The sequence below is a fragment of the Homo sapiens genome, chromosome 4 (genome assembly GCF_000001405.40).
Source record: "Homo sapiens chromosome 4, GRCh38.p14 Primary Assembly".
Classification (NCBI taxonomy): Eukaryota; Metazoa; Chordata; class Mammalia; order Primates; family Hominidae; genus Homo; species Homo sapiens.
In genome coordinates, this window is record NC_000004.12 from 143,329,706 (window position 1) to 143,354,197 (window position 24,492).

General features: G+C 44.4%; 1 protein-coding gene, 1 non-coding gene and 2 pseudogenes across 7 annotated transcripts in view, besides 7 other annotated features; 2 read left to right on the forward strand and 2 right to left on the reverse strand.

Moving 5' to 3' along the window:
- Positions 5,978–6,187: an enhancer, noted in NCBI's record as "active region_21941". NCBI's record gives its function as "activates an Ori minimal core promoter by ATAC-STARR-seq in GM12878 lymphoblastoid cells {active_cell/tissue: GM12878}" and the evidence as "EXISTENCE:reporter gene assay evidence [ECO:0000049][PMID:35858748]".
- Positions 6,380–6,547: a silencer, noted in NCBI's record as "fragment chr4:144257238-144257405 (GRCh37/hg19 assembly coordinates)". NCBI's record gives its function as "represses an EF-1alpha promoter that drives an FKBP-Casp9 reporter gene in an ReSE screen in K562 erythroleukemia cells {active_cell/tissue: K562}" and the evidence as "EXISTENCE:reporter gene assay evidence [ECO:0000049][PMID:32094911]".
- Positions 6,380–6,787: a biological region, named in NCBI's record as "ReSE screen-validated silencer GRCh37_chr4:144257238-144257405".
- Positions 6,488–6,787: a silencer, noted in NCBI's record as "silent region_15718". NCBI's record gives its function as "represses an Ori minimal core promoter by ATAC-STARR-seq in GM12878 lymphoblastoid cells {active_cell/tissue: GM12878}" and the evidence as "EXISTENCE:reporter gene assay evidence [ECO:0000049][PMID:35858748]".
- Positions 6,888–6,947: a silencer, noted in NCBI's record as "silent region_15719". NCBI's record gives its function as "represses an Ori minimal core promoter by ATAC-STARR-seq in GM12878 lymphoblastoid cells {active_cell/tissue: GM12878}" and the evidence as "EXISTENCE:reporter gene assay evidence [ECO:0000049][PMID:35858748]".
- Positions 6,930–7,485, reverse strand: LOC124900789 (uncharacterized; annotated as a pseudogene). The gene has a single exon (XR_007058287.1). The product of XR_007058287.1 is annotated as an uncharacterized LOC124900789, transcript variant X1 (transcript).
- Positions 7,018–7,067: a silencer, noted in NCBI's record as "silent region_15720". NCBI's record gives its function as "represses an Ori minimal core promoter by ATAC-STARR-seq in GM12878 lymphoblastoid cells {active_cell/tissue: GM12878}" and the evidence as "EXISTENCE:reporter gene assay evidence [ECO:0000049][PMID:35858748]".
- Positions 7,097–7,910: an enhancer, noted in NCBI's record as "H3K27ac-H3K4me1 hESC enhancer chr4:144257955-144258768 (GRCh37/hg19 assembly coordinates)". NCBI's record gives its function as "activates a minimal SCP1, AML or CMV promoter by ChIP-STARR-seq in naive and primed H9 embryonic stem cells {active_cell/tissue: H9 hESC(naive and primed)}" and the evidence as "EXISTENCE:reporter gene assay evidence [ECO:0000049][PMID:30033119]".
- The window catches only part of GAB1 (GRB2 associated binding protein 1), a 137,690-nt gene continuing 120,368 nt past the window's right edge, over positions 7,171–24,492 (forward strand). For 2 of the 5 annotated variants that reach the window (NM_207123.3, NM_002039.4), the window contains exon 1: positions 7,171–7,555. In NM_207123.3, coding sequence (NP_997006.1) covers positions 7,484–7,555 — 72 coding nt within the window. In that variant the 5' untranslated portion in view covers positions 7,171–7,483. Of the gene's footprint in view, positions 7,556–15,350; positions 15,431–24,316; positions 24,484–24,492 lie in introns of those variants that run through there. The other 3 variants (XM_047449969.1, XM_017007969.2, XM_017007970.2) reach the window with 2 other exon arrangements.
- MIR3139 (microRNA 3139) lies at positions 13,755–13,830 on the forward strand. The gene has a single exon (NR_036091.1). It is a non-coding gene; the product is annotated as a microRNA 3139 (primary transcript).
- Positions 19,533–20,435, reverse strand: RPS2P20 (ribosomal protein S2 pseudogene 20; annotated as a pseudogene).

The following is a 24,492-nucleotide window of genomic DNA, read 5'->3' on the forward strand; positions in this document are numbered from 1 at the left end:
ACAACGAAGCATTTCTCAATTGGATTGTGACATGCGATGAAAAGTGGATTGTATATGACAACCATTGACAACGAGCTCTGTGATTGGACTGAGAAGAAGCTCCAAAGCACTTCCCAAAGCCAAATTTGCACCCAAAAAATGCCATGGTCACTGTTTGGTGGTCTGCTGCCAGTCCACTACAGCTTTCTGAATCCTGGCAAAACCGTTACATCTGAGAAGTATGCTCAGCAAATCGATGAGATGCACCGAAAACTGCAATGACTGCAGCCGGCATTGGTCAACAGAAAGGACCCAATTCTTCTCCATAACAATGGCTGACCCTACGTCAAACAACCAATGCTTCAAAAGTTGAACAAATTGGGCTACAAAGTTTTGCCTCATCTATCGTATTTACCTGACCTCTCACCAACTGACTACTGGCAAGCTTCTTCAAGTATCTTGACAACTACTTGCAGGTAAAATGCATCCACACCAGCAGGAGGCAGAAAATGCTTTCCAAGAGTTCGTCAAATCCTGGAGCACGAATTTTTACGCTACAGGAATAAACAAACTTATTTCTTGTTGGCAAAAATGTGTTGATTGTTATGGTTCCTCTTTTGATTAATAAAGATGTGTTGGAGACTAGTTATGATGATTTAAAATTCGCAGTCCAAAACCCTAATTACTTTTGCACCAACCTAATAGGTTACAAGAGCTCTGCCCTTATAAATGGAACTGGTGCCCTTATACAAAAGGCCTAGGGCAGCCTGTTTGTGTCTCTTGCCATGTGAGGACACAGCAAGAAGGCACGATCTATGAGGAACAGGCCCTCACCAAACACTGGATCTGCTGGTACCTTGATGGAGGACTTACCAGCATCCAGAATTATAAGCAATAAATGGCTATTGTTTATCTATTACCCAGTCTAAGGTATTTTGTTACAGCAGCTTGAATGGTCTAGGTCACTGGGTGGCAGAGACATCCATAAAGCTAATGAAGCTTCAGCTCAGGGCCTGTCATTGCACAGGCCTCTTGTGAGAGTGGGGAGCTTCTAGGAGAAGTGGAGTGTCCTAGTGGAGAGGGGGTGTCAAGCTGTACTCAGGAAGAATATGTAAGGATTCTGGTAAATTACCTATAAATCTTAGAAGAAAGACATCTGCATCTCCAGGGCTTCGGGAATTTGTTGGTGATTTATTTCCTCATTCTAAATACATATTCATCCAAATTTCGTATTTGTAATTGCATTATTTTCGTTAAAAAGACTCCCCAAACTATATAAACTTCTGGTCCCAGGACATGAAGATTTGCCCCTGCAGAATAATTTTGTATCTATCTGAGGTCACTGAACATGAATTTACAGTGATGTCACTCATCCTGTTCTGCGACTTGCTCCAACAGCACTTGGCTGGTTGTGTGCAGAAGAAAGTACAGTCAAGCTGGGCATGGTGGCTTAGGCCCGTAATCCCAGCACTTTGGGAGGCCAAGGCAAGTGAATCACTCGAGGCCAGGAGTTTGAGACCAGCCTGGCCAACATGGCAAAACCCTGTCTCTGTCAAAAAAATACAAAAATTAGCTGGGCATGGTGGTGTGTAGCTGTAGTCCCAGCTACTGGGTGGGCTGAGGTGGGAGAATCACTTGAACCCAGGAGGCAGAGGTTGCAGCGAGCTGAGATAGCACCACCACACTCCAGCCTAGGTGACAGAGTGATATCCCATCTCAAAAAAGGAAAAAAAAAAAAAAAAGAAAGAAAGGACAGTCAGGTTTGTCCAGAGTTGGGGTTTTGTGAGATAGGAATGTTTACTGAAAATGTGGACCACAGAATTTAAGCTGGATAAGGAGAAGGGAGTGAAGAAAGGAAATGTCTGATAGATCACGGGAAAGCACAAGTCTTAATAGACTAGAAAAGCTGTTGAGAAGAAGGAATAATTACATAGGGAGATATTGAAAAATCAAGTTGAAAGATGTATAGCTAAAGTGGGATGCTGGAAGGGAATAACAAAATGCACAAAGATGATTGCTTGAGGTGATTTGGATAGATTTTTCTTTTTTCTTTTCTTTTTTTTATTTTTTTTTTGAGACAGTTTCGTCTTGTTGCCCAGGTTGGAGTGCAATGGCGTGCGATATCGCCTCACCGCAACCTCTGCCTTCCGAGTTCGAGTGATTCTCCAGCCTCAGCCTCTGGAGTAGCTGGGATTACAGACATGCGCTACCATGCCCGGCTAATTTTGTATTTTTAGTAGAGACCGGGTTTCTGCATGTTGGTCCGGCTGGTCTCGAACTCCTGACCTCAGGTGATCTGCCAGCCTCGGCCTCCCAAAGTGCTGGGATTACAGGTGTGAGCCACCTCGCCCGGCCTGATTTGGATAGATTTGAATGTCATAGGAGATGAAATGGTCATTTGCTTCAAGAAAATGTCTAAATCTGAAGATCTCCAAGGACCTGCACAATCTGTCCCTTGCCTGCCTCTGTACCTCAGCCAGTGCCAATGTCTCCATCATTCACCCCACTGCTGCCTTCATTCAGTTCATTAAATGCTCCTTCCAGCCTGAAAACCTGTACACCTGCACCTTCTCTTTTGTCTGGAATACTCTCCCTTACTATGTCCACCAGGCCAACTTCTTCTTATCCTGAGGATCTCAATTTAAAGCCTGAATTTCCTGGCGGGCGCTGTGGCTCTCACCTGTAATCCCAGCACTTTGGGAGGCCAAGGCAGGTGGATCACCTGAGGTCAGAAGTTCAAGACCAGCCTGACCAATACAGTGAAACCCCGCCTCTACTAAAAATACAAAAATTAGCCGGGCGTGGTGGTGCACGCCTGTAATCCTAGCTACTTGGGAGGCTGAGACAGGAGAATAGCTTGAACCCAGGAGGCGGAAGTTGCAGTGAGCCAAGATTGTGCCACTGCACTCCAGGCTGAGAGATAGAGTGAGACTGCGTCTCAAAAAAAAAAAAAAGTCTTTTCCTCAGGGAAGTCCTTCCCAACCTACCGCCCTACTCCTGGGGGGTACATCCTCTGTTATATGCCCAAACAACACTATATTTTCTTCCATAGCATTTATCAACTGTATTGCCAAAATGATGGGGTTAATTATCTGCAAAAGCTTTTCTCTAGGAAAGAGGAGTGTGGGAACAGGTCTGGCTTTCCCCTACTGTATCCTGGGTCCTCAGGGACTGGCATATAATAGGCATCCCATAAATATTCGTTGTATGAATAAAATTTAAGATACTAACATATAATAACTTTTTCCAGCGTGCCTTTTAAGGCATAAAGATATAAAATATGATTTAACAAATAATCTAAACATGACATATAAAAATAAGGCAAATTTCCTTTCTAAAATATATACATGGAGACATATCTATCTTCAATTTCTCTTCAACCCTGATTTAATTTCTAGAAATACAAGCCTAAAACAACTCAGTAGAAGATAGGAAAAACACTTAAAGATTTTTTACATAGGAATGAGATAACTGAATGCCTTATTTGAAATAAAGAAAAAAATTTGTGGAAATTCCCAAAGCTAAATAATACAAGATATATTACAATTTTCCATTTACAAAGAACTTTATAACAAGAGTGTAGGAAATGGTAAATTTGCTAAAGCCAATAGTTAACTACTCAACAATACTAGTCTTACTAATGCTAATTATACTTTTGGCTCAATGTAGCTACATGCTGCCTATGGGAGAAGAGGAAAACAAATTTGATGGTTTATTTTCATTTGGAAGATTTGTGGCATGATTTATATTCACATACTTAAAAAGAAGTGCTTTGGTTTATTAGCTGCCATAAAAATTACGCTTGTTTATGTTTCAGAAAGAACATTAAGAAATACAGCAACAAACAGCAAAAATCCTACAATATCTAATATGTGCCTGATATTTAAAACTACCATTTCTTTTTTCCTTTTTTTCGAGACAGACTCTCACTCAGTCACCCAGGCTGGAGTGCAGTGGCCCTATGTCAGCTCTCTGAAACCTCCCTGTCCCGGGTCCAAGTGATTCTTGTGCCTCAGCCTCCTGAGTAGCTGGGACTACAGGCACGCGCCACCACACCCAGCTAATTTTTGTGTTTTTAGAAGAGACTGGGTTTTCACCACGTTGGCCAGGATGGTCGCGACCTCCTGGCCTCAGGTGACCTGCTCATCTAGACCTCCCAAAGTGCTGGGATTACAAGTGCAAGCCATCACGCCCAACCAACACTACCATTTTCCTTTTTATTTATTTATTTATTTTTCAGAGACAGTCTCGCTCTGTCTCCCAAGTTGAAGTGCAGTGGCACGATCTCGGCTCACTGCAACCTCCACCTCCTGGGTTCAAGCGATTCTCCTGCCTCAGCCTCCCGAGTAGCTGGGACTACAGGCGCGTGCCACCACACCCGGCTAATTTTTGTGTTTTTAGTAGAGACTGGGTTTCACCACGTTGGCCAGGGTGGTCTCAAACTCCTGGCCTCAAGTGACCTGCTCACCTAGACCTCCCACAGTGCTGGGAATACAAGCGCGAGCCATCGCGCCCGACTAACCGACCAACACTACCATTTCTTTTCTTTTCTTTTCTTTTCTTTTCTTTTCTTTTCTTTTCTTTTCTTTTTTTTTTTTTAGAGACACAATCTCGCTTTGTCGCCCAAGCTGAAGTGCAGTAGCGCGATCTCGGCTCGCTGCAACCTCCGCCTCCCGGGTCAAGCGATTCTCCTGCCTCAGCCTCCCGAGTAGCTGGGACTACAGGCGCACGCCGCCACGGCTAATTTTTTGTATTTTAGTAGAGACGGGTTTTCACTGAGTTGCCCAGTCTGGTCTCAAACTCCTGAGCTCAGGCAATCCACCCACCTAGGCCTCCCAAAGTGCTAGGATTACAGGCGTGAGCCACCGCACCTGGCCAACACTACCATTTCTATTTCTCATTAAACTTCTGCAAAATCGGTGTTGCAATTCCCATTTCACATATCGGGAAACTGAGACTCAGAGACATTGTGTAATTTACCCAAGGTCACGACTACTCAGTTGATGACCTGAAAAGTGCATCCAGATCTGCAAGAAGTTCCGCCCTTGTGATACTGTTAAGTGCCTGCCAAAAGATGACGGTCTCTAAACCCCAGTGGGAACCAGGCTTTTTCAGATTTTTCTTTTTTGAGACTGAGTCTCAATCTGTAGTTTTGTTGACTCTTTATTTGCTTACTACCCTATGCCACTACCTCCATATATGCAGGGATCTTTGTCTTGTCACCACTCCAGCACCTAATTTCTTATTACAATCATCTAACATTTTCAAACTCAGAGGAGCTTCAGAATATGAATGTTGTGTTAATAAGAAAATGACTGAAGTTATGTCTTTCCAGAAATGCTCATTTATGTCGTCATATTTTTAGCACTTTTATCTGATTATATTATCTGCTGAAATTGGCTTTGGGGCTTTTTCACAAATAAATTGGAGAAGATGTTTATTACAGAATCATGTTAAACTCAGGACCAGTATAATAATTGTGAAACACACAAGGAAGTAGGCAAATAGAACTAGGGTACCCAGTAAATTTCCTTCCTTCCTTCTTTCTCTCTCTCTCTCTTTTTTTTTTTTTTTTTTTTTGACGGAGTTTTGCTCTTGTTGCCCAGGCTGGAGCGCAGTGTCGCGATCTCGGCTCACCGCAATCTCCGCCTCCCGGGTTCAAGCTATTTTCCTGTCTCAGCCTCCCGAGTAGCTGGGATTATAGGCGCGCGCCACTACGCCCGGCTAATTTTTGTATTTTTAGTAGAGATTGGGTTTCTCCATGTTGGTCAGGCTGGTCTTGAACTCCCGACCTCAGTTGATCCGCCCGCCTCGGCCTCCCAAAGTGCTGGGATTACAGGCGTGAGCCACCGCGCCCGGCCAAGTGTCCCTCTTCTAGTCCAGCATCCGAACAGTAGATTTCAAACAAATACAAAGTTAAGTGGAATAGGCAACAAATGGAAGGGGTGTGAGACTTCAAAATGTCTCAGAGATAGGACCCAACCAAATCCTTGGCCTCGCCAAGCGCCCCCATCACTCTGGCAGAACAGCTCCAGAGACCAGCCCTGGCCAGCCCTGGGTCCCCATCTGTCCTCCCCTCCAAGCTGGTAGCTCCCGCGCCCTCTTGGTCTGTCCTTTAATCTCGCGCGGCGGGGACCGGCAGGATGGTGGTCTCCCCGCGGTTTTGCCTTTCAGGCTCTCAAGTAAAGAAAACCCTCGAAACTCCTGATCTCGAGCACAGCACAAGCTCCGAGCTGGCACCGGGCTGAGTCAAGATGGCAAGCCCCGGACTGAACATTCGAATGTCCCTCAGTCTTCCCCGCGCCCAAGCCCCGGTGCCTCTGCCCTAGCCGAGGCCTCTGCGGTCTTCCCGGGCGAGGAGCCGATTGGGGGCCGCCGGACGGCGGAGGACCCTGCTCCTGCTTCCCGAACTACAGATCCCAGGGTGCCTCTCGGACTCGCGCTCCCTCCCTCCCTTGCTCCCTCCCTTCGTCCGTCTCCTCCCCCGGCCCTTGTTGTTTTGGCTGGAAGCACTCCGGCGGAGTTTCAGAGAAAGTCTGGGCAGAAACCGGAGCCGGGCCTGAACGTGGGAAGGGGAGGAGGAGAGGGAGGAAGAAGGAGCCCGGCGGCCGGGAGAGGGAGGGAGGGATCGGGATCTGGGGCCGAGCCGCTCAGGACCTGCCGCGAGCCCCGGGGTGGGGGAGGCGGCGGGGGAGGAGCGCGAGGGGACGGGACAGCGGGATCCCTCCCAGGAGCCAAGCCGCCAAGCGCCTCGTTCCTCTGCTGCTCCCCGCCCTCTTCGGCGGCCGCGAGAGCGGACCCACCCTCCGGCTTGACCTGCGACCTCCCTGCGCCCGCCGCTCAGAAACGCCCCGCGCTTCGCTGCCAACCCTGCGGCTCCCTCTGTGACCCGGGACCAGCCCCGCGCCCGCTGCCCGTAGGCGGCTCGCGGCTTCCCCTTTCCTCGGCGTTCACCGAGCGCCGCGAAGTGACCCACCCTCCCCCGAGGAGAGGGAAGGAGGATCGCTCCGGGCGCATCGAAACCGAGGGCGGGTGGGCGGGCGAGCGGGCACCGCGCGGGGCATTGTGTGTGTGTGTGTGTGTGTGTGTGTGTGTGAGCAGCGCTGTGTCTGTTTCGGAAAGCGCTCTGGGGAGGTCTTGTCCCTAGGGGGCGGAGCGCAAAGGACAGAAGCTCCGGCACCGAGTCGGGGCAGAGTCCCGCTGAGTCCGAGCGCTGCTGAGGCAGCTGGCGAGACGGCACGTCTGGAGGCGAGGCGGGCGCACTGAAAGGAGGCCGGCGCGCCCGCGGCCCCGGCTCGCGTTCTGTTCAGGTTCGTGGGCCTGCAGAGGAGAGACTCGAACTCGTGGAACCCGCGCACCGTGGAGTCTGTCCGCCCAGTCCGTCCGGGGTGCGCGACCAGGAGAGCTAGGTTCTCGCCACTGCGCGCTCGGCAGGCGTCGGCTGTGTCGGGAGCGCGCCCGCCGCCCCTCAGCTGCCCGGCCCGGAGCCCGAGACGCGCGCACCATGAGCGGTGGTGAAGTGGTCTGCTCCGGATGGCTCCGCAAGTCCCCCCCGGAGAAAAAGTTGAAGCGTTATGTAAGTAGAGCTGCGGGCACCACTCCGCGGGCCTCGGCGTCCACACCCCTCCCCAGTCGGCTCGCCGGCGGCTGCAGCTGGCCGCGCGCGGGGCTGGTTCTTAAACGAATGCCGGTCTCTTTCCCCTTGGCCCCTACCCCTGGCGGGCTCGGGACAGGGTGCCTTGCACTCCCTCACGCCCAGGCATCCACTTGGCCGGACAACTTTCTTCCTCCAGGTTCCAGACAGCCTGCTTTGCGGGCCTGTTCGCCCCATAAAAGGACCTAGACGTCCAGCTAAACTCCTGCTGCATGCTTTTTTTCTTCCTTAGGAAGGATGGGGTGCGATGGAGAGAGGAGCCTTCTTCCTGCTTTATTCCTGCATCTGATTATTGGGCTGATGTGTGCTAAAGCTCCCGCACCGGGAAAACTGCCGAGGTTTTAGGGCTCACTAGCCCTTTCTTTGGTGGGCGCTCCCTCTCCTCCGCCCCTCGAGATGGGTTGCGGGAAGCGGGCTGTGGAGCTGAGGAGTTGGTAGTAGAGACAAGCATATCGAACGCGCGCAAAAGGGAAAGAAAGAAAAGTTATTACGCGCCCTGCCGTTTGCTTAGCAGGGTTCACATTTTCGCGGTTTTGAATTGAGGGACTTTGGAGTTTGGCCCGGGAGCCTTGGCGGTTTGCTGCGAGAGGAGGGCGCTGGGGGGGAGCCTAGTGGCTGGTGTTTGGGCGCCTTGGATGTGCTGTCAAACTCGGCAGGAGGGGACAGCTGAAGCCAGAAGGGATTTCAGTTGCGGTCCTTTCCCAGGGAACCAGAGTGGCTTTAATGGTGTTTGTGTAATTGATACAAGATGCTATGTGTTAAACCGTTTTAGCTGTTAGGAAAAATATTCCTTGAAAGTATCAACCTTGCTTTAGTGGAAACCTGTGTCCTCTTCAGAGGTCTGGGATCTTATTCTTCCTCCCCATTGGTTGTTTTGTTGCTGCTCCCTTGCAAAGGAAAGAAATGACACTTTTGTGCTGACATCTGGATCAAATATTTTTCTAGTAAAATGTGTTTGCAAAAGCAAAATTTATGCCCCCTTAAATATAATATAAATTTAATGCCTGTACGAAGGGAACCCGTTTGTCGTTGAGGAATATCTACACCCAGTATTAGAGCTCAGGTTAATCCTGTTAGTCACTGTTTGCTTGTATAGAACAGAGTGAAGTACACAGAGTGAAGTATTTAACTTCACTGACAACTCACCAGTGAATTTCTGATTTACTTTCTGCCAGAATTTATTATAGACAAGTAATTTTATTGAAAGACTCGATGCCACAAATCATAAGAAAGCTCTCCAGAGATGTGTAATGCCTCCAAATCCTGTCCATCTATCAGTTTTCCTGAATATCCTAGTAAAAATGCTAACTTTATTCCAAAAATATGAACGAGGCAGTGTTTTTTTTTCCAGCTGTTCTAAAGAGAAAGGTAGGGGTGTGTGTGTGTGTGTGTATGTGACAGAGAAGGAAGGGAGAAAGGGGTAGGGAGATAAATATATTTGTTTTGAGAAGGCCCAATTTAGGAAAAACAGATTCTTGGAGGAATTAAAGAATAACATATTTGCTGAACGTGAAAGTGATAATATAGGTTTAATTCATTCTTTCACATGGTTAGTTCATGGCTCACTCAAAAGACGCCAGGCACTGTATTAGACACCAACCATAAGGTCACAAAATACAGTAGGAAAAAGGAAAAAAGCCCTGCCTCTTGGGCTTAGAATTCAATTGAACTATTAACCAGGAAAGAAATCAGCCAAAAAGATTATGTCTTAACAAGAAAAACAAAAAGGAAAGTATAATTTGATCATTACAACTGTTTTCTGAGGTAGGTGTCATCTCTATTTTACAGAAAACAGTCCTGCATTTGAACCCAGATCTGCCTGATTGATTGGACTGTAAAAGGTTAACGACTCTCACCTAGTTCATTTCAAATGTGGAGCTTAGACTAGGTTATCTCTAAAGGTCCTTCAGGCTCACACCTGTAATCCCAGCACTTTGGGAGGCCGAGGCCAGTGGATCACCTGAGGTCAGGAGACCAGCCTGGCCAACATGGCGAAACTCTGTCTCTACTAAAAATACAAAAAATAGCCGGGCGTGGTGGTGTACGCCTGTAATCCCAGCTGCTGGGGAGGCTGAGGCAGGAGAAATGCTTGAACCTGGGAGGTGGAGGTTGCAGTGAGCAGAGTTTGTGCCATTGCACTGCAGCCTGGATGACAGGGTGAGACTCCGTCTCAAAAATAGCAACAACAAAATAAAGGTCCTTTCAGATTATAACTTTTCCTGACTCTGAATATTAGTTGAGAATACAAGAATGAGGTGGACTATGGATCAGGTGCACAGTGCTAAAGAAATGTAAGACCTAGTCTTTGCCTTTAAGTAGCTCTTTGAGTCTTTGGGACCACGAGACAAGTATATGTGAAAAAGCCAACAGTGCAAAGTGGTATATGACTGTGTGTCTAAGTTGAGTGGTATGGGTATTTTTTGGCTGTTCTGAGGAACAAGTTCAATGTAGACTGAAACTATGGGAACATTTGAGAGAGACAGTGGGCTGCCTACATTGTGTTTTCCACAGGAGGATGAATGTGCCTAATAGCTTGGGAGAAACTAGGATTTTCTTTGCCTGGTGTAGCACTGGTGTTTTCTTTACCCACGAATAAAGTAGATGGAGATAGTCCTGGAAGACAGTAGACAGGGCGGCTGTCAGAATAGAGGAAACCAGCATGGAGTGTAATGAGTTAAATAAGGCTTATTTAACTGTCAGGTTAAATAAGGCTTGTATTTTACCTGTCAGGTTGGTGGCCCAGAAGATTTTGACATTCCCAGATTATTGATCTTTTGGCTTTGCTGTCCAGTTTAGATGGTTTTTGCTAAAGTAGCTTTGACCATCAAAGATATAGACATGTATACGTGCATTTCCTATGCTTGTTTTTTTTATGTAGAATGTTTATTTTTCTGGATAAAGGAAACATTGTTGGCCACCCAGTAGGCAAAATGTTTGTGGATAATGATTTGTAATGAATGGATTTGCTATGAAAAGATATCTTGGATGCTTGATACTATAATTATTAAATGAGACTTCAGGGAGTTTGAGCATCATGATTCTGTTTGGAAATATTTGGCCCATGGGACTTTGACAGTTGTCTCACTGTTTACAGCATTTATAGGGTAGTCCGAACACTGATTAAGATGATCCATAAGGGCTTTTAAGTGACAAAAAAATTGTTTTAGTTTTTTTTAATTAATTTTTTTTTGAGATGGAGTCTTGCTCTGTCACCCAGACTGGAGTGCAGTGGCACTATCTCGGCTCACTGCAACCTCTGCCTCCCAGATACAAGCAGTTCTTCTGCCTCAGCCTCCCCAGTAGCTGGGATTATAGGCATCCCCCTCCACACCCAGCTAATTTTTGTATTTTCAGTAGAGATGGGATTTCGCCAGGCTGGTCTCAAACTCCTGACCTCAGGTGATCCACCCACCTCAGCCTCCCAAAGTCCTGGGATTACAGGCATGAGCCACCACGCCTGGCCTTAAATTGTTTTAGTTTTAGCTTTAAAGCCATCTCATATATGGCCCCCAATGTATTCCATTTACAGCTCCGTTTTATGTTTACTGTTTCATAGTCAACTCAAGCAGGATTGTTTTTTGTACACGCTAGTGTGTTAGTCTGATGTGTAAGCTTTTCTTGAATTTTCTAAAGAATGACACACAAAAAAATGAAAGTCAAGAGTAGTCAGCAGATTCCCCAGCTTTTCCTTCTCTTTTTAATTTTTTCTATATTCGCAAAAGGTTCTTTCTTGTATGTGTTTCATTCTCCTGGAAGTTTTTAAAATCTACTTAAAATGTAGGTGAAAATTTTAATGCTTCTTTTCAGGGTTGCTACTGTGGTGTTGCTGTTTTCATGCTGTGTTATATATTAAACAGCTGCTTTTTTACTTTGTTAAGGACCTGATGGAATCATAAACAGATTACTGTCACTAGGATTACAGAAAACAAGTAAAGTCTTGGTAGTATGCACTCAACAATGGTGCTCAGATTTTTAAAGAATTATTTAAAGAAATGATGGTGAAATTTTCATCAGAACCTGAAATTTTAGCTGAAATAAGATGCAAGTCTGTAAATAAAGTATTGTTTCAAGACAGCTGGCTACCACCATCGCTCTGGAGGAGGAGCTTCCTTGCCTGAAGCCCAAACACTAAGTTTGGGCTCCTCCATAGCCCAGCTGTCAGCATTGGGCAGGTGCACAATCTCAGCAGGAGAACCTGCTTCTGAGGCCAGAGCAAGGTGGCCTGTTAGCTGACAGCCAGCCTGGTAGCAAGGCCCCAGCCAGTTCTTAGGTAGGTAATCTGTACCCAGCGTGGGCTCTCTGTCTGCTCTGCAGCTGTCAATTAACAGGACAACTCTTGTCTGGACTTCAAAAACACACCCCTGGTTCTGGAAATGGGCCTAGAAACAGAAATAGCCTCTCCTACTGGGTGGGCACCTGACATCTGACATGGAGGAGAGGGGCGTGGGCAGGCCAAGTGTCAGCATCTCCTTGGTTCAAGGACAACCCAGGACCTGTGCTAAGCATGAAACCCCTGCTCAATAGTGTCACTACAACAAAGAGGACTGTCATGTCTAGAAGCTCTTCCTATCCTTTTTTGACAATTACCACTAGCAATCAATGGATTCTGATGTTTCTGCTTACAGTGACTGAATAAGCATAATTATTCTATTGAAGGAAATTTTTTCTTGCCATCCTCATGTTAGTAAACATAATTCAGACTCCCAATGTTTTTACCTTTTCAAGTGTAGCAAGAATGTTTTTTCTGTTAACAGAGATCATCAACTTGCAATTACATTAAGCCTTTATGATGGTTAATGATAGTTCATTTGTTGTGCCTGGGCTGAATGATAAGTGTAGAACTCTCCACGTGCAACTTGCTGAATCTCCAAATCTGATTGCTACCTTTTGAGATTCAGAATTACTGTTAGGAAGGTGCATTAGTTTGGAGGGGGTAGTTTGAGAATTCTGCTGGCTCTTTAAAATTATTTTTTTAAGAGATCATCTTGGAACAAAAAGTGGCAAGAGTTATAGTTGGATAATCTGTTTGACAAGTGACTGGTTATTTCAGTGTATTTTGCCATAACCTGCTTAAAAATGTAAGGAGTAAAACACACAGCGTTTTTTGAGAGTAAGTAAAATCCCATATTTTAGACTTAACATAAAAATATGTAGATAAGCTATTGACAATTTGCAGACTGAGAAAGTTTCAGAGGTGATAGATTCTTTTTTTTTTTTTTTTTTTTTTTTTTTGAGATGGAGTTTCGCTCTTGTCCAGGCTGGAGTACAATGGCATGATCTTGGCTCATGGCTCACTGCAACCTCCATCTCCCGGATTTAACTGATTCTCCTGCCTCAACCTCCCAAGTAGCTGGGATTACAGGCTCCTGCCACCACGCCCGGCAAATTTTTTTTTTGTATTTTTAGTAGAGATGGGGTTTTGCCATGTTGGCCAGGCTGGTCTCGAACTCCTGACCTCAGGTGATCCGCCCGCCTCAGCCTCCCAAAGTGCTGGGATTACAGGTGTGAGCCACCGTGCCCAGCCAGAGGTGATAGATTCAAAACATGTGTTAGGTACTCAGCAGTCCTAATTTTCTTACAGAGACTGACAGCCAGAAGGAGCATTGTAGTAGATGGGCTACTACTTTACTTTTGAAGAATTTTGTATTAAAATGTAATTTGATGCACCCACTGATGCTTTTAGTGGGGATGTTTTGCTATAGTGGAAGGAAACTCAGACTGAGTGTCAGGACCCGGATTCTACTTGGTTTTGCCATTACCCACCCACAGGAGCATTTGACCATTCTGATCCTCAGTTTCCTTACCTGTAAAATGGGGGAGGGAGGAGCTGTAGATCTTCAGCAGAAGCCCTGTTGCAGTTTAGCGTTCCTCTTCTCAGACATTTTCTTGGGTGGAAGGGACAAATGGGGAGCTCTTCAATAAGCTGCAACATAAATTTTTGGGGGACATAAATCTTCCTTGTGGGGAAATCTTTACTATTTATCTTAAATAGTTTAGTGACTGCTTAAGCAGTATTCTTTGGGGACTCTTGGTTTTTAACTGAAGGCAGACCTGCATGCAGGGCCTTTGGCTGCTGTGCTCCTGGGCTGGGTGCTGTGTCTTGAGCCCCTGTGCAATGCCTGGCTCAGAGTAGGAGCTCAACAGATGCCTGTTGACTGAATAATAAACAGGTATCGCAGGAGCTTTTGTTATGTGCCATGTGTGGAATGCAAGGAAGGAAAGGCCCACTCTCTGCCCTTAAGGAGTTTCTAATCTGTTTGTGAAGACAAGCTGTCAGTCATTTTATAGGAGCTATGATATATGATTAGTTGCCAAATGAAAGTTTAGAGTGAGAACAGGGGATGCAGGGGTACGAGATGCCAGGGAAGACTCCGCAAATGAATTTTACACTTTGCTTTTAGAAGAGCTGGTGTACTGCTGGCAGCAACAGCAAAATCTTAAGGGAGGGCTGGTTTTAAAGGAAGAACAAAGATTTGTGTTGAGTTTAGATGTCCTCATGAAAAAAACTGCTTCCCAGCACCCCAGTTTCATGTGAGGAGTTTGGCTGTCAGCTGTATCTTCTAGTTTGAGAAGTTTTTGTTTCTGCTAAGATCTAATGTTCCTCATGGGTTCCTGAGCACAAGTGAATTTTCTGCATCAAACTAGAAATGAACAAAACAACTTGTTTGGTCACCTGAACTTATTAAAATTCCAAGGGACATGAGTTGTTTAAGATTTCTTTATGTCTGTTTTAAGCTAAGTAATTCATTCTGGCAAGCAGTTAGTTTACAACAGAGAGGGAGCATGTTCTGGTGGGAGGGAGAATAAAAGAGCCTTTGATTCATTTGCTTCTGAGTTCCAGCAGCAGGACCAGGGCTGCCTTGGGCTAGCGTCTTATTTCGGACTTTGGAAGCCATCTTAGCCCAGCTGTGTGAGTGCCAGCTCGTGTTGGGGGGGAGAGAATAACACCAACGGATCACATGAAACCCCCTCTCCCTGTGGATGGAGGGGTTTCTCTCATTTCACATTCCTCGCATCAACATGGCGCCTAATTTCCACCAAGTTAGAGCTCCATCTGAATTTGCCATTTGAACTTGGATTGAAGTCACGATCTTTCTGTGACTCCTTTTATCTCAGTCTGCCAACTAATACAGAAAACTTATCAAGTCACAGTTCTCTTTATTCTCCCCTCTTGGGGTATAACACACATAAAATTAGCATTCTTTCTTTTTTATATTACCCCTGGCAAAAAGTGGCCCATTGTACTGTGGATTTCCATATTTATTAAATAACTAGGCTCTTCCGTTGCCAGTGGGATGGCTATAGGAGCCTCAATAAATTGTAGATGACAATTTAGGCCTGTAGAATTGCTGAGAAAAGTCATTTTTAGGAACTGGAATTTTTTGCTCATTCTAGGCTTCTATGTTTGAGCATCTTAAATAATAGAAGAATGCCCTAACTGGAAAAAAGAATCATTTCTCTTTTAAGCAATTCACTTATTCATAGGAGCGAAGTTCTCCCTAGTTTAAAAGGTCGCATTACTGAATAAAGTACACTATAACCTAAGAGCTTTTGACCTTCTCCCAGCCCGTTTTTAAAAAGAATTAAGACTATGCACTGTAATGCATGTTTGGTTGTTATCTCTGTTACATTAGCTCTTGAAGCATTCTGATTACAACTTGTAGCTGCCAAGCCCTGTCCTGCAGTATTATCTGGAACAAAAATTTTCCATGTGGTTGTTTTTAGCAGAGCTACTATATGCAAACTGCACGTGAAGGATATAAGTTATAAAGGAATAGAGCTTCTAGAAGGAGAAATGTGAGTTAACTTTTTTCTACCATTTAATCATTCTTTCCTCACCTCTTAGTGTGTGTTTCAATAATGTTTATCATCTTTCTAAACTGAGTTTTCTTTTATTTTTATATATTAGAAAGAATGCCAAATTTACCAAGTGCTTTTCTGATGGTGGTTTTCTTTTCTCCCAGCTTTTTACTTTGAATTCATACTTGGCCTAGGTAGTTCTCTTAAGTTATGTGTTCAAAAAACAATGTCCTAAGAGGAAAAAACAAATGGCCACATTGTCTCATGAATTAAAAACAACATACCAAGAGTCCAAACATTTCAATGTAAAAATATTAAGCCTTTCTTTTTTTAGGAAGACAAATATTAAACTTTGCTTTAACTATCCTGTTGTTTTTCCTTTCCCTTTTTTATTTATTTTCTTTTGGTTTGACTCATGTAGTTTAAATTTATTTTGAAAACAGCTTTATACATACTTCTTTAAGAATACTGCACGTAGGGGAAAGCATCAAACTTCCATTTTACATTTCAAGAGAAAAGTGAGAGGAGGCCATCCTCCTGTCAGAAGAGGGGCAAAATGTCAAATAATACCAAGGTCTTCTAACTTACTTTTACATTGCTTGGTTATTTATCATTATTGCCTAGAGATATTTAGCTATTTAAACATGAAATAAGCAGGTAAATGTAATTTAAGTTAAGCAAGTTTCACATTTGCTTTTGTGAAACGAAATCCTGGACATAAGCATTGGAAGAACTCAACTCATTTTGTTGTAGTTTTTGTTTTAAATAGAAAATAGAGACAGGGTCTCTACATTCCCCAGGCTGGTCTTGAACTCCTGGCCCCAAGTGATCTCTTGCCTCGTTGTAGTTTTTATTGTTGTATTTAACTCATTAGCCAGCCAGTTGTTGTAACATTTTATTTGCTAACTTTTTAAATGAGAGGAAGGTAAAAGCACTCTGTGCCATAGTTCCCTACTCTCTCTTTTCCTATTCATTTCTGCTTCTCTGTGATATAAGCCTAGACATCAAAAATCACAAAATATTTGTGTCCCAATCTTTACACACACATTCTTTCACGAAACTTTTCTCTAAAAAGAGAGTGTTAATTTGTGTCACTCTTACTTAGTAATCAAGAATAGAAATAATAATGTTCCAACTAGCATGTAGATGTTTTTCTCTCCTGAAATGCAGCTTTTAGTTACTGCTGTATTGGGAAATGTGGTTAGGCCACTTTCTGACTGGCAGAACTCCTCCCTGAGATGACTACCTGATGAAAGAATTACCTGCCTGTGTGCCTTCCCAGTTCCAGTCCTTAGCACATTCCCATCACTGCTGTGGCCAGAGTTGGAGTTGCCAAGACTAAGGTGCTGGTGGAGGGATGACTCCTTGATTATCGAGAGAGAAGTGCTTTAATCTTTGACTTTTGTAAGAGAGATACTAGGTAAAAGCTACCTTCAGCGTTTTGAATTCCAGTGCTGTTGTGTAGAGCTTGATGAGGAACGATTACCTCATTCAGCTAGGGAGGTATTTTTTGAACCCTCTACCCTCTGGCAAAGTTATAATTGACCCCAAAGTTATGTAGGATTATTTACTTTACATGTTCTTGACAGTTTCAGGTTTAAATGTTTGAAGTGTTGAGAAAAGGTAAAAGGAAATATTGAACTCCTAATAATGTAAAATATTTGGGAAGGTACTTTGTTCCTAGTGATGCTGTTACATAAAACCAAAGCCTTCTGAGTAATCTTTGCTGGGTATGTAGGTCATTTACCTCCAAAGAAAAAGGCACACAATTAAACTGGTGCTGTTGAACGGTATTATTTTTCTTTCTATTCCTTTAAGCAGTCAAATAGTTGAGAGTCAAATTTATAAATGTTGACTGTTTCAAATGGGAAAAGCAAGCGTAATATATTTTTCTAGTTGATTTTCATAGTGACCCACAGTATACAGAGAAAAAGGTATATACACAGGAATCTGTGAAAATTATGGCTTCATTTATCATTCTTCGGTGTTTGTAATAGGATATTAATTTCCAGAGGACAGAGATGGCATTTGTTCTCTTGTCTCAAATATACAGTATGGTGCCTTGCATATACTCTTGAACAGCACAATCAAATAATTGTAGAATTTTGAGCCTAAAATTGTAAATTCTCTTGTCCAATGTTTCTTAACCTTTTCTAACCCACTCCTCTCTCATGTATTGTTTGAGTGTCCTTTGGCTTTTAATCCAGTTTTACTTTCTATGATTTGCATTACAAAAACAATAGCTATATTGAAACTTTTTTCTAATTACACATATCTCCTTCTCCACCAGTCAAGAATCCAACCCACTCCTTTTACAGGGAATGAAAATAAGCCTAAGGGAGGTGAATTGATTAGTCCAAAGTCATATTACTTAACCAGTTGTTCTGTTGGGGTCCATCTCTCCCCTCCCAGATAAAATCCTTTCCGTCAGAGTGAATGCCCACATGAACAGGGCACTGTGAAGAATGCAAAAGAAGAGGACCAAGTGAACACTGTTTTCACCTTTGAGAGCTGTGTGCTGCTAGGGGACATAGGTTGCACTTAGTTCTACAAATTACATCATGATCAGTGATGTGTGAGACATTCTGGTAGAAGAATCCAGCAGAGAGGTTAATTCAGGTACTCTGTGAAGGCTTAATGAAGGTGGCAAGAGGCATTTCACCAGCACCTTAAAAGATGGATTCAGTTTTCAAAGATGAGGCTGGAGTAAGATCTGATTTCTGTTTCTCCTTTTCCCAGCCAGACTCTTGCATTGTTGTTTACATTTGGCTCTTCCTCTTTTTCACCTGCTGTTCATTTCATAATGGAATACAGCTGGGTCCTTTTTCCATCACCCTTATTTAAACACCAGTCTCTGATGTTCCTAAGTGTTGGAGTTCTTGAGGGTTCCAGTGCTAGCCCTGGTTGGTCTCCTCCTCTTTTCATCTTTGTTAGTTGGTTCTTCATCTGTTGTGAAATCGTGAACTCCTTTGAAAATTTGAGGCTCCCAGTTCCCATAAGAACTCTTACTAACTTATACACAAACATTATTATAATCTTGGATGTTTTCTGACCTTTAAAGCTCATCTATGGCTCTTAACACCTAGTTAAATGCCCTGAATTATATGTTGATAATTTGAGTACTCTTTCTCAGCCCATTTCTCATTCCAGATCTATGGCTCTAATGGTTTAAATCCAAAACTGCTTATATAGCCCACAGCAACTCAGAGTCAGAATGCCCACAGCAGATCTTATCATCCTTTCCCTTAAACCTGGTCCTCTTGGCTGTTCCTTGTACAGTGGCTCAGCCAGAAGGTTTTCTTTGACTTTTCTCTCTCTCTCATTCTCCACACCCAGTGACCAAACCCTGTCGGTTTTACCTTCCAAGTATCTTGATTTATTGGCCACTCTTGCCTAGGCGATATTTGCCTTTCTTCTGGATTGCTGCAATAGCCAGTTGCAGTTGCTGCTCTCTGCCTCCTCTTGGGCCCCTCTTAGCTGTCTTATCAAGGCAGCCAGAGTGACTTTTCTGAAATACCAATCTGATAATGCCATTCCATAGCTCGAAGCTGTTCTGCCGCGCTCTTTTGCTCTTCGGAGTGCCTCTGCCTCTTCCCTTGGCTTGCATGGCCCTTTATGTGGCAGCAGCACATCCATCCAGTAGTGTTTGTTGCTTCCTTCTCCACTCAGTCTCTCCCCTTCAGCTATACTGAACTTTCATGGTCCAGATCAGCTCTGAGATCTCTCTCTCCGGGCCTTTGCACATGCTCTCCTCTCCTCCAGGAGTCCTTGACACTCTCTTTTCTGTCTCACAACCAGGCTAACTTTGGGAACCTTCTCTGAACTCCACCACCACTGCCACATGTACACACAGACATACTGTGCTGGGAGCATCTGTTTTGTCCTCCTGTCATGCTCTGTTATTCTCATAGCATAGCACTTGCCACACTTGATATTTGCTTGTTTACTTGCTTATTTCCCCTCCCATGGTGGGGCCATGTTGTGACTTTTGTGAGCCCCAGGTACATTTGCCTTCATAGGTCCCCCCCTTCCTAGATTAAAATATTCTAACCTGGAGTAGTTATATATTATTTTTCATTTTTTATTTTGATTTTTTTTTCACGCTTAATTCACTTTATTTTTCTTGTATAAAAACCCTACGTTGTAGCCACAGCTGGAGCCTGAGTCCGCTGCATGGAGACTCTGGTGTGGGTCTTGACTAGGTGGTCAGTGAAGTCCTGATAGGGAGACTTGGTAAATACAGTCTCTTTCCAGAGGTCAGGGGTCAGATAGCTGTAGGTCTTAGAAATGGCATCAAAGGTGGCCTTGGCGAAGTTGCCCAGGGTGGCAGTGCAGCCCTGGGCTGGGGTGTAGCAGTCATCGATACCAGCCATCATGAGCAGCTTCTTAGGCACAGGTGCGGAGACGATGCCAGTGCCCCTGGGTGCAGGGATGAGGTGCACCAGCACAGAGCCGCAGCGGCCTGTCACCTTGCAAGGGACGGTGTGGGGCTTGCCGATCTTGTTCCCCCAGTAGCCTCTGTGCACGGGGACAATGGAGAGCTTGGCCAGGATGATGGCCCCACAGATGGCGGTGGCCACCTCCTTGGAGCACTTAACACCCAGACCGACGTGGCCATTGTAGTCCCCGATAGCAACGAATGCCTTGAACCTCGTGCGCTGGCCGGCACGGGTCTGCTTCTGCACTGGCATAATCTTCAAAACCTCATCCTTGAGAGAGGCCCCCAGGAAAAAGTCAATGATCTCTGATTCCTTAATGGGCAGAGAGAAGAGATAGATCTCCTCCAGGGACTTGATCTTCATGTCCTTGACCAAGCGGCCCAACTTGGTGACGGGCATCCACTCCTTATCCTCGGCCTTGCCTCCGCGACCCCGGCCCCGGATGCCACTGCCGAAACCTCCGCGGAAGCCACCGCGGTTCCCCATCCCAGGGCCACCAGGGCCTCCGGGCCCTCCCGCTGCACCGGCGTCATCCGCCATTTGGTGTTTTCTCGGAAAAGAAGCTGATTTTTAAAAGAAAATATTAAGACACTTTTTGTGTGCTCCTAAATGTATCATGGGCCCCAAGCACTGTGCCTTCTGTCTGATGGATACGTTGGCCCTGTTAAATGAACAGAAATACTTTTAAGATAAAGTTGACAGCATATGTCAACTGCCTGATTGGGACTAAGAACGGTGAGGAGTTACTCAGTTATTTTGTCATGTGGCACTGTTATCATGGCTTAGCTCACTAAAACACTCTTAAGGCTTTGTGTTTTAGGCTGGGCGCAGTGGCTCACCCCTGTAATCCCAGCACTTTGGGAGGCGGGGCGGGCACATCACCTGAGTTCGGGAGACAGAGACCAGCCTGGCCAACATGGTAAAACCCCGTCTATACTAATAATACAAAAATTAGTTGGGCGTGGTGGTGCATGCCTGTAATTCTAGCTACTCAGGAGGCTGAGGCAGGAGAATCGCTTGAACCCGGGAGGCGGAGGTTGCGGTGAGCCGAGATCTCGTCATTGCACTCCAGCCTGGGCAACAAGCGTGAAACTCCGTCTCAAAAAAAAAAAAAAAAAAAAGAAAGACTTTGTATTTTAGGCCCTGGTAATGGGAAAAAAATTATGTATAGATTTATATAAAATATATTTAAAAATATGTATTTAGGAGCAAAAATTGATTATGTAAAAAAATGTGTTCTATGAGCTGTTTGACTACTACGCACATTTCTTCATGATGTTTCTGTGTACAGCAGTTTTTAGTAGAGGTGGGTAGGTGATTTGTCCCCTCCACGGGACATTTTGAAACAGGAAAGGTTCCCTTGTCCCCCTCGCAGGGCATGCAATGGGGATGTGCTCACTTCTTCAGGGCCCCACTGCTCAAACCTCTAGGGGAGCATACAGACCGGCAGGCCGAGGGGCTCTGACCCCACCGCAGTGTCTAGGGGTGAAAGTTTACAGCTGAGGCCCCAGCGGGCGTGTGTTACGGGGTGCTCTTTTAGTTTGCCGTCTATAGGCAGCTTGTGTTAACCAGTTCAGTTAGACCCCCTCCCTTATCACAAGGACAGAGTGATTTCTGTATCCCAGTGTTTCTTGCCTTGGTGTACCAGAAGAATTGGATCACACGTGGGGCTGGAGAATGAGTGCAAGGTTTTATTGAGTAGAAGTAGCTCTCAGCAGATGGGGGAGCCAGAAGGCAGATGGTTTTCCCCTGGAGTCCGGCCACTCAGCCGCCTGACTCTTCTCCAGCTTCTCCGGCCATACCCCGAGTTGTTCGGCCAGTCGATGGTCAGCTTGCCTGCGGGTGCTCTTCCGCGGTGTCTTCTCCCGCCAACGAGTTCGTCAGGATGTCCAGCCGCTTGTGTCTGCCACCTAGGGTCTGGGGGGTTTTTATAGGCACAGGATGGGGGCGTGGCCGGCCAGGGTGGTCTTGGAAAGGTGACCTTTCGGCGGCAAGGCTGGAGTGCCTATCCTCACCTAGGTTCGTGGGGATGGATCCCTAGTCAGGGACCACGCCTTCCTCTACCAGGCACTTCCCTTCCCCACTTCCATATCATTTAAAGGGACCAGGCTCTTCCCGTCCCAGCACTTCCATAACAATTTGACAATTTCTGGAGACATTTTGGTTGCTACAGCTGGAGGGAGGAATGCTTCTGGTATCTAGTGGGTAGAAGCAGGGATGCTACTAAACACTCTATTGCACAGATTTATCTGGCTCAGAATATCAGTGTGCTGAAGTTGAGAAATCCTCATATAGAGGGGTTCATAAAGCTTGGTTCTTACATTTATTTTATTCATTTAGTATATTTCCCTATGTTGCCAGTTGGATTGTGTCATAGCACCGGAAGCAAACATTTATTTTTCTGACTGAAGTAATGTTTGAGAAAAACAGTCATTGAGATGGCTGAGCCTTTGATCACTAGAGGGTTTAGGTGATAGGCAAATTCTCTCTCCAAGGATCTGTTGTCATTTAAATCATTACCAAAATACTCATTTTTACTTTGCTCTCCTAGCTTAGAGTACAGCCAATTGTTGTCTGGTAGGGGGATGCTGAGTCATTTATTCATGCATTTTATTACCTCTTGGCTGCAATATCACCATTCATTGTTCACAAGCCACCCAGCTTGTTTACTTTTTATAAATTACATGTAATCAAGTCCTCTTGCAGGTCTGGCTACTGTAATTGGCAGCAGCCACAGAGCAGGGCTGACAAGTCTGCATTTATGCTGATGTCTCATATTCAGCCCACTCTCCAAGCTTTCTTTCCTCTTCCATGTGTATTTTAGAAGGAAGGCAAATAGAAGGAATGCAAAGAGAGAACTGTTAAGGAGTTTTCTCTTTTCAGATGATCTTAAGATACTTATAGCTTGGCAGAGTCCTTGTGTCATTTGGTTGGGAAAAAACAAGGGTCTAGAGCAGTCAGTGGTCCTTAAACTTCAGTGTGCATAACAATCACTGGGTAACTTCTAAAGTGAAGATTCTTGGGCCCTACCCTCCTTCTAATGTTTTTATTAAGTCTGGGTAGAGGTCCAGAAAACTGCAGTTTCTAACTTGAACCCCTGCTGATTCTGAAGTAGATGGTCCTTAGGTTATTCTTGGAGAAATCCTGAGTTGGGCATAGAGGGAAAAAGAGACAAGAAATAAAATTCAATAGAAGTAAATACTTATAAAGAAAGCAAGAACCAAAACTGAGAGAGTAACTTTAACCTCTCTTCTGTGAGATGAAGGGAGTGAGTATGCTGTGCTGCTTAAAAAGATAAGCGTTTAGTTTTTTCTGGCAGTGAATGAGATCAAACTGTCCTCCAAAGACGACATATTGAGAGGATTACAGAAGTGAAAAGGAATTTTTAGAAAGGTTAGAATATGAGAAAGTACCTAACTGTCGCCAAGAAACTCAAAAGACATGATTAAATCAAAGAAAGTGTTTTGTAGGTATCTGTTTAAAAAAGAATGTGCATTCCTGAATCAAGAGTTTATGAATAGCTTAAAGATGAAGAGGAGAGATGAAGGAGGATTAGCTGTTCACCAGAAGTTCTGGTTATTCTGGTTATTGGATCTGAAAGCATATTATTAAAGTATTGTCTAGATTTCCTGGAATAGTTCTCATTTCTAATATTCTTTCCCATTGTTTTTATAATACATGTCTGATTTGCCCTAATTTTTGGTTAGTTGAGGTGTGGTTGATTTGTAAAAGAACACCAAAAGTGGGTCTACTTGACTGAAGAAGCTCTCTTGCTTTCCAACTTTGTGTTTGTGTATGTGTGTGTTAAATGTATGTTTTCTAATCTATCTCTTTTAACCTAAACTTTGATTTTAAAGTCCACATTAGAGAAAGAGCAATAGAGACAGACTGACTCCACTTTAGAAAATTGGTCAAGAAGTGGACCAGGTGGGAATGGTTACTTAATCCTAGCAGAGGAATAAAGTACTTGATTTCCAGCTACCTACTGAATGCACTCTGCTACTAGACAGCTATTCTTATTTTTTTTTTTTGACATATTATTTCCATAGGGGAACTTTATAGTTCAATTCAGTAACCTTGGAGAGAGATCCTGACCAAAAAAAAAAAAGAGAGAGAGAATTTTGGAAGTTACTTATAAAATGATGAGTATCACCAGCATTTGTTAAATCATTCTTTCTTTATTCTAATTATCTCTGTATTAAAGTATTGACTTTTCCACATACATGCTCTAGAAACCCAGGTTGTACTTTAGAACTTTTCACCACTATAGTATATTAACTAGCTTGCTAATCCTTTTTACTGTCTTTCATGTTCTCTCCCTGCCATCTGCTCACAAGATTTTATAGAATCTTCATATCTGCTTTGTAAGTGTTGAGGATCATTATTGTTATTGTACGAAGTGTCTACCACACCCTCTCATTGCACTGAGAGTCCGAGTAAGTTTAGTTAGTAGATCACTTTGCTCTGAAGTGAATAGAAGGGTTGTTGCTGTATGCTGGTGGAGACCCAAAACCAGCTTCTTCCATTTACTCAATCAAGGAAGGCTAGACTCCTGTGACTTGTACCCTGCACTTTGAAGACTGGGCTCAGGACTTGCTCTCTTCATTTCAGGTGACCTTA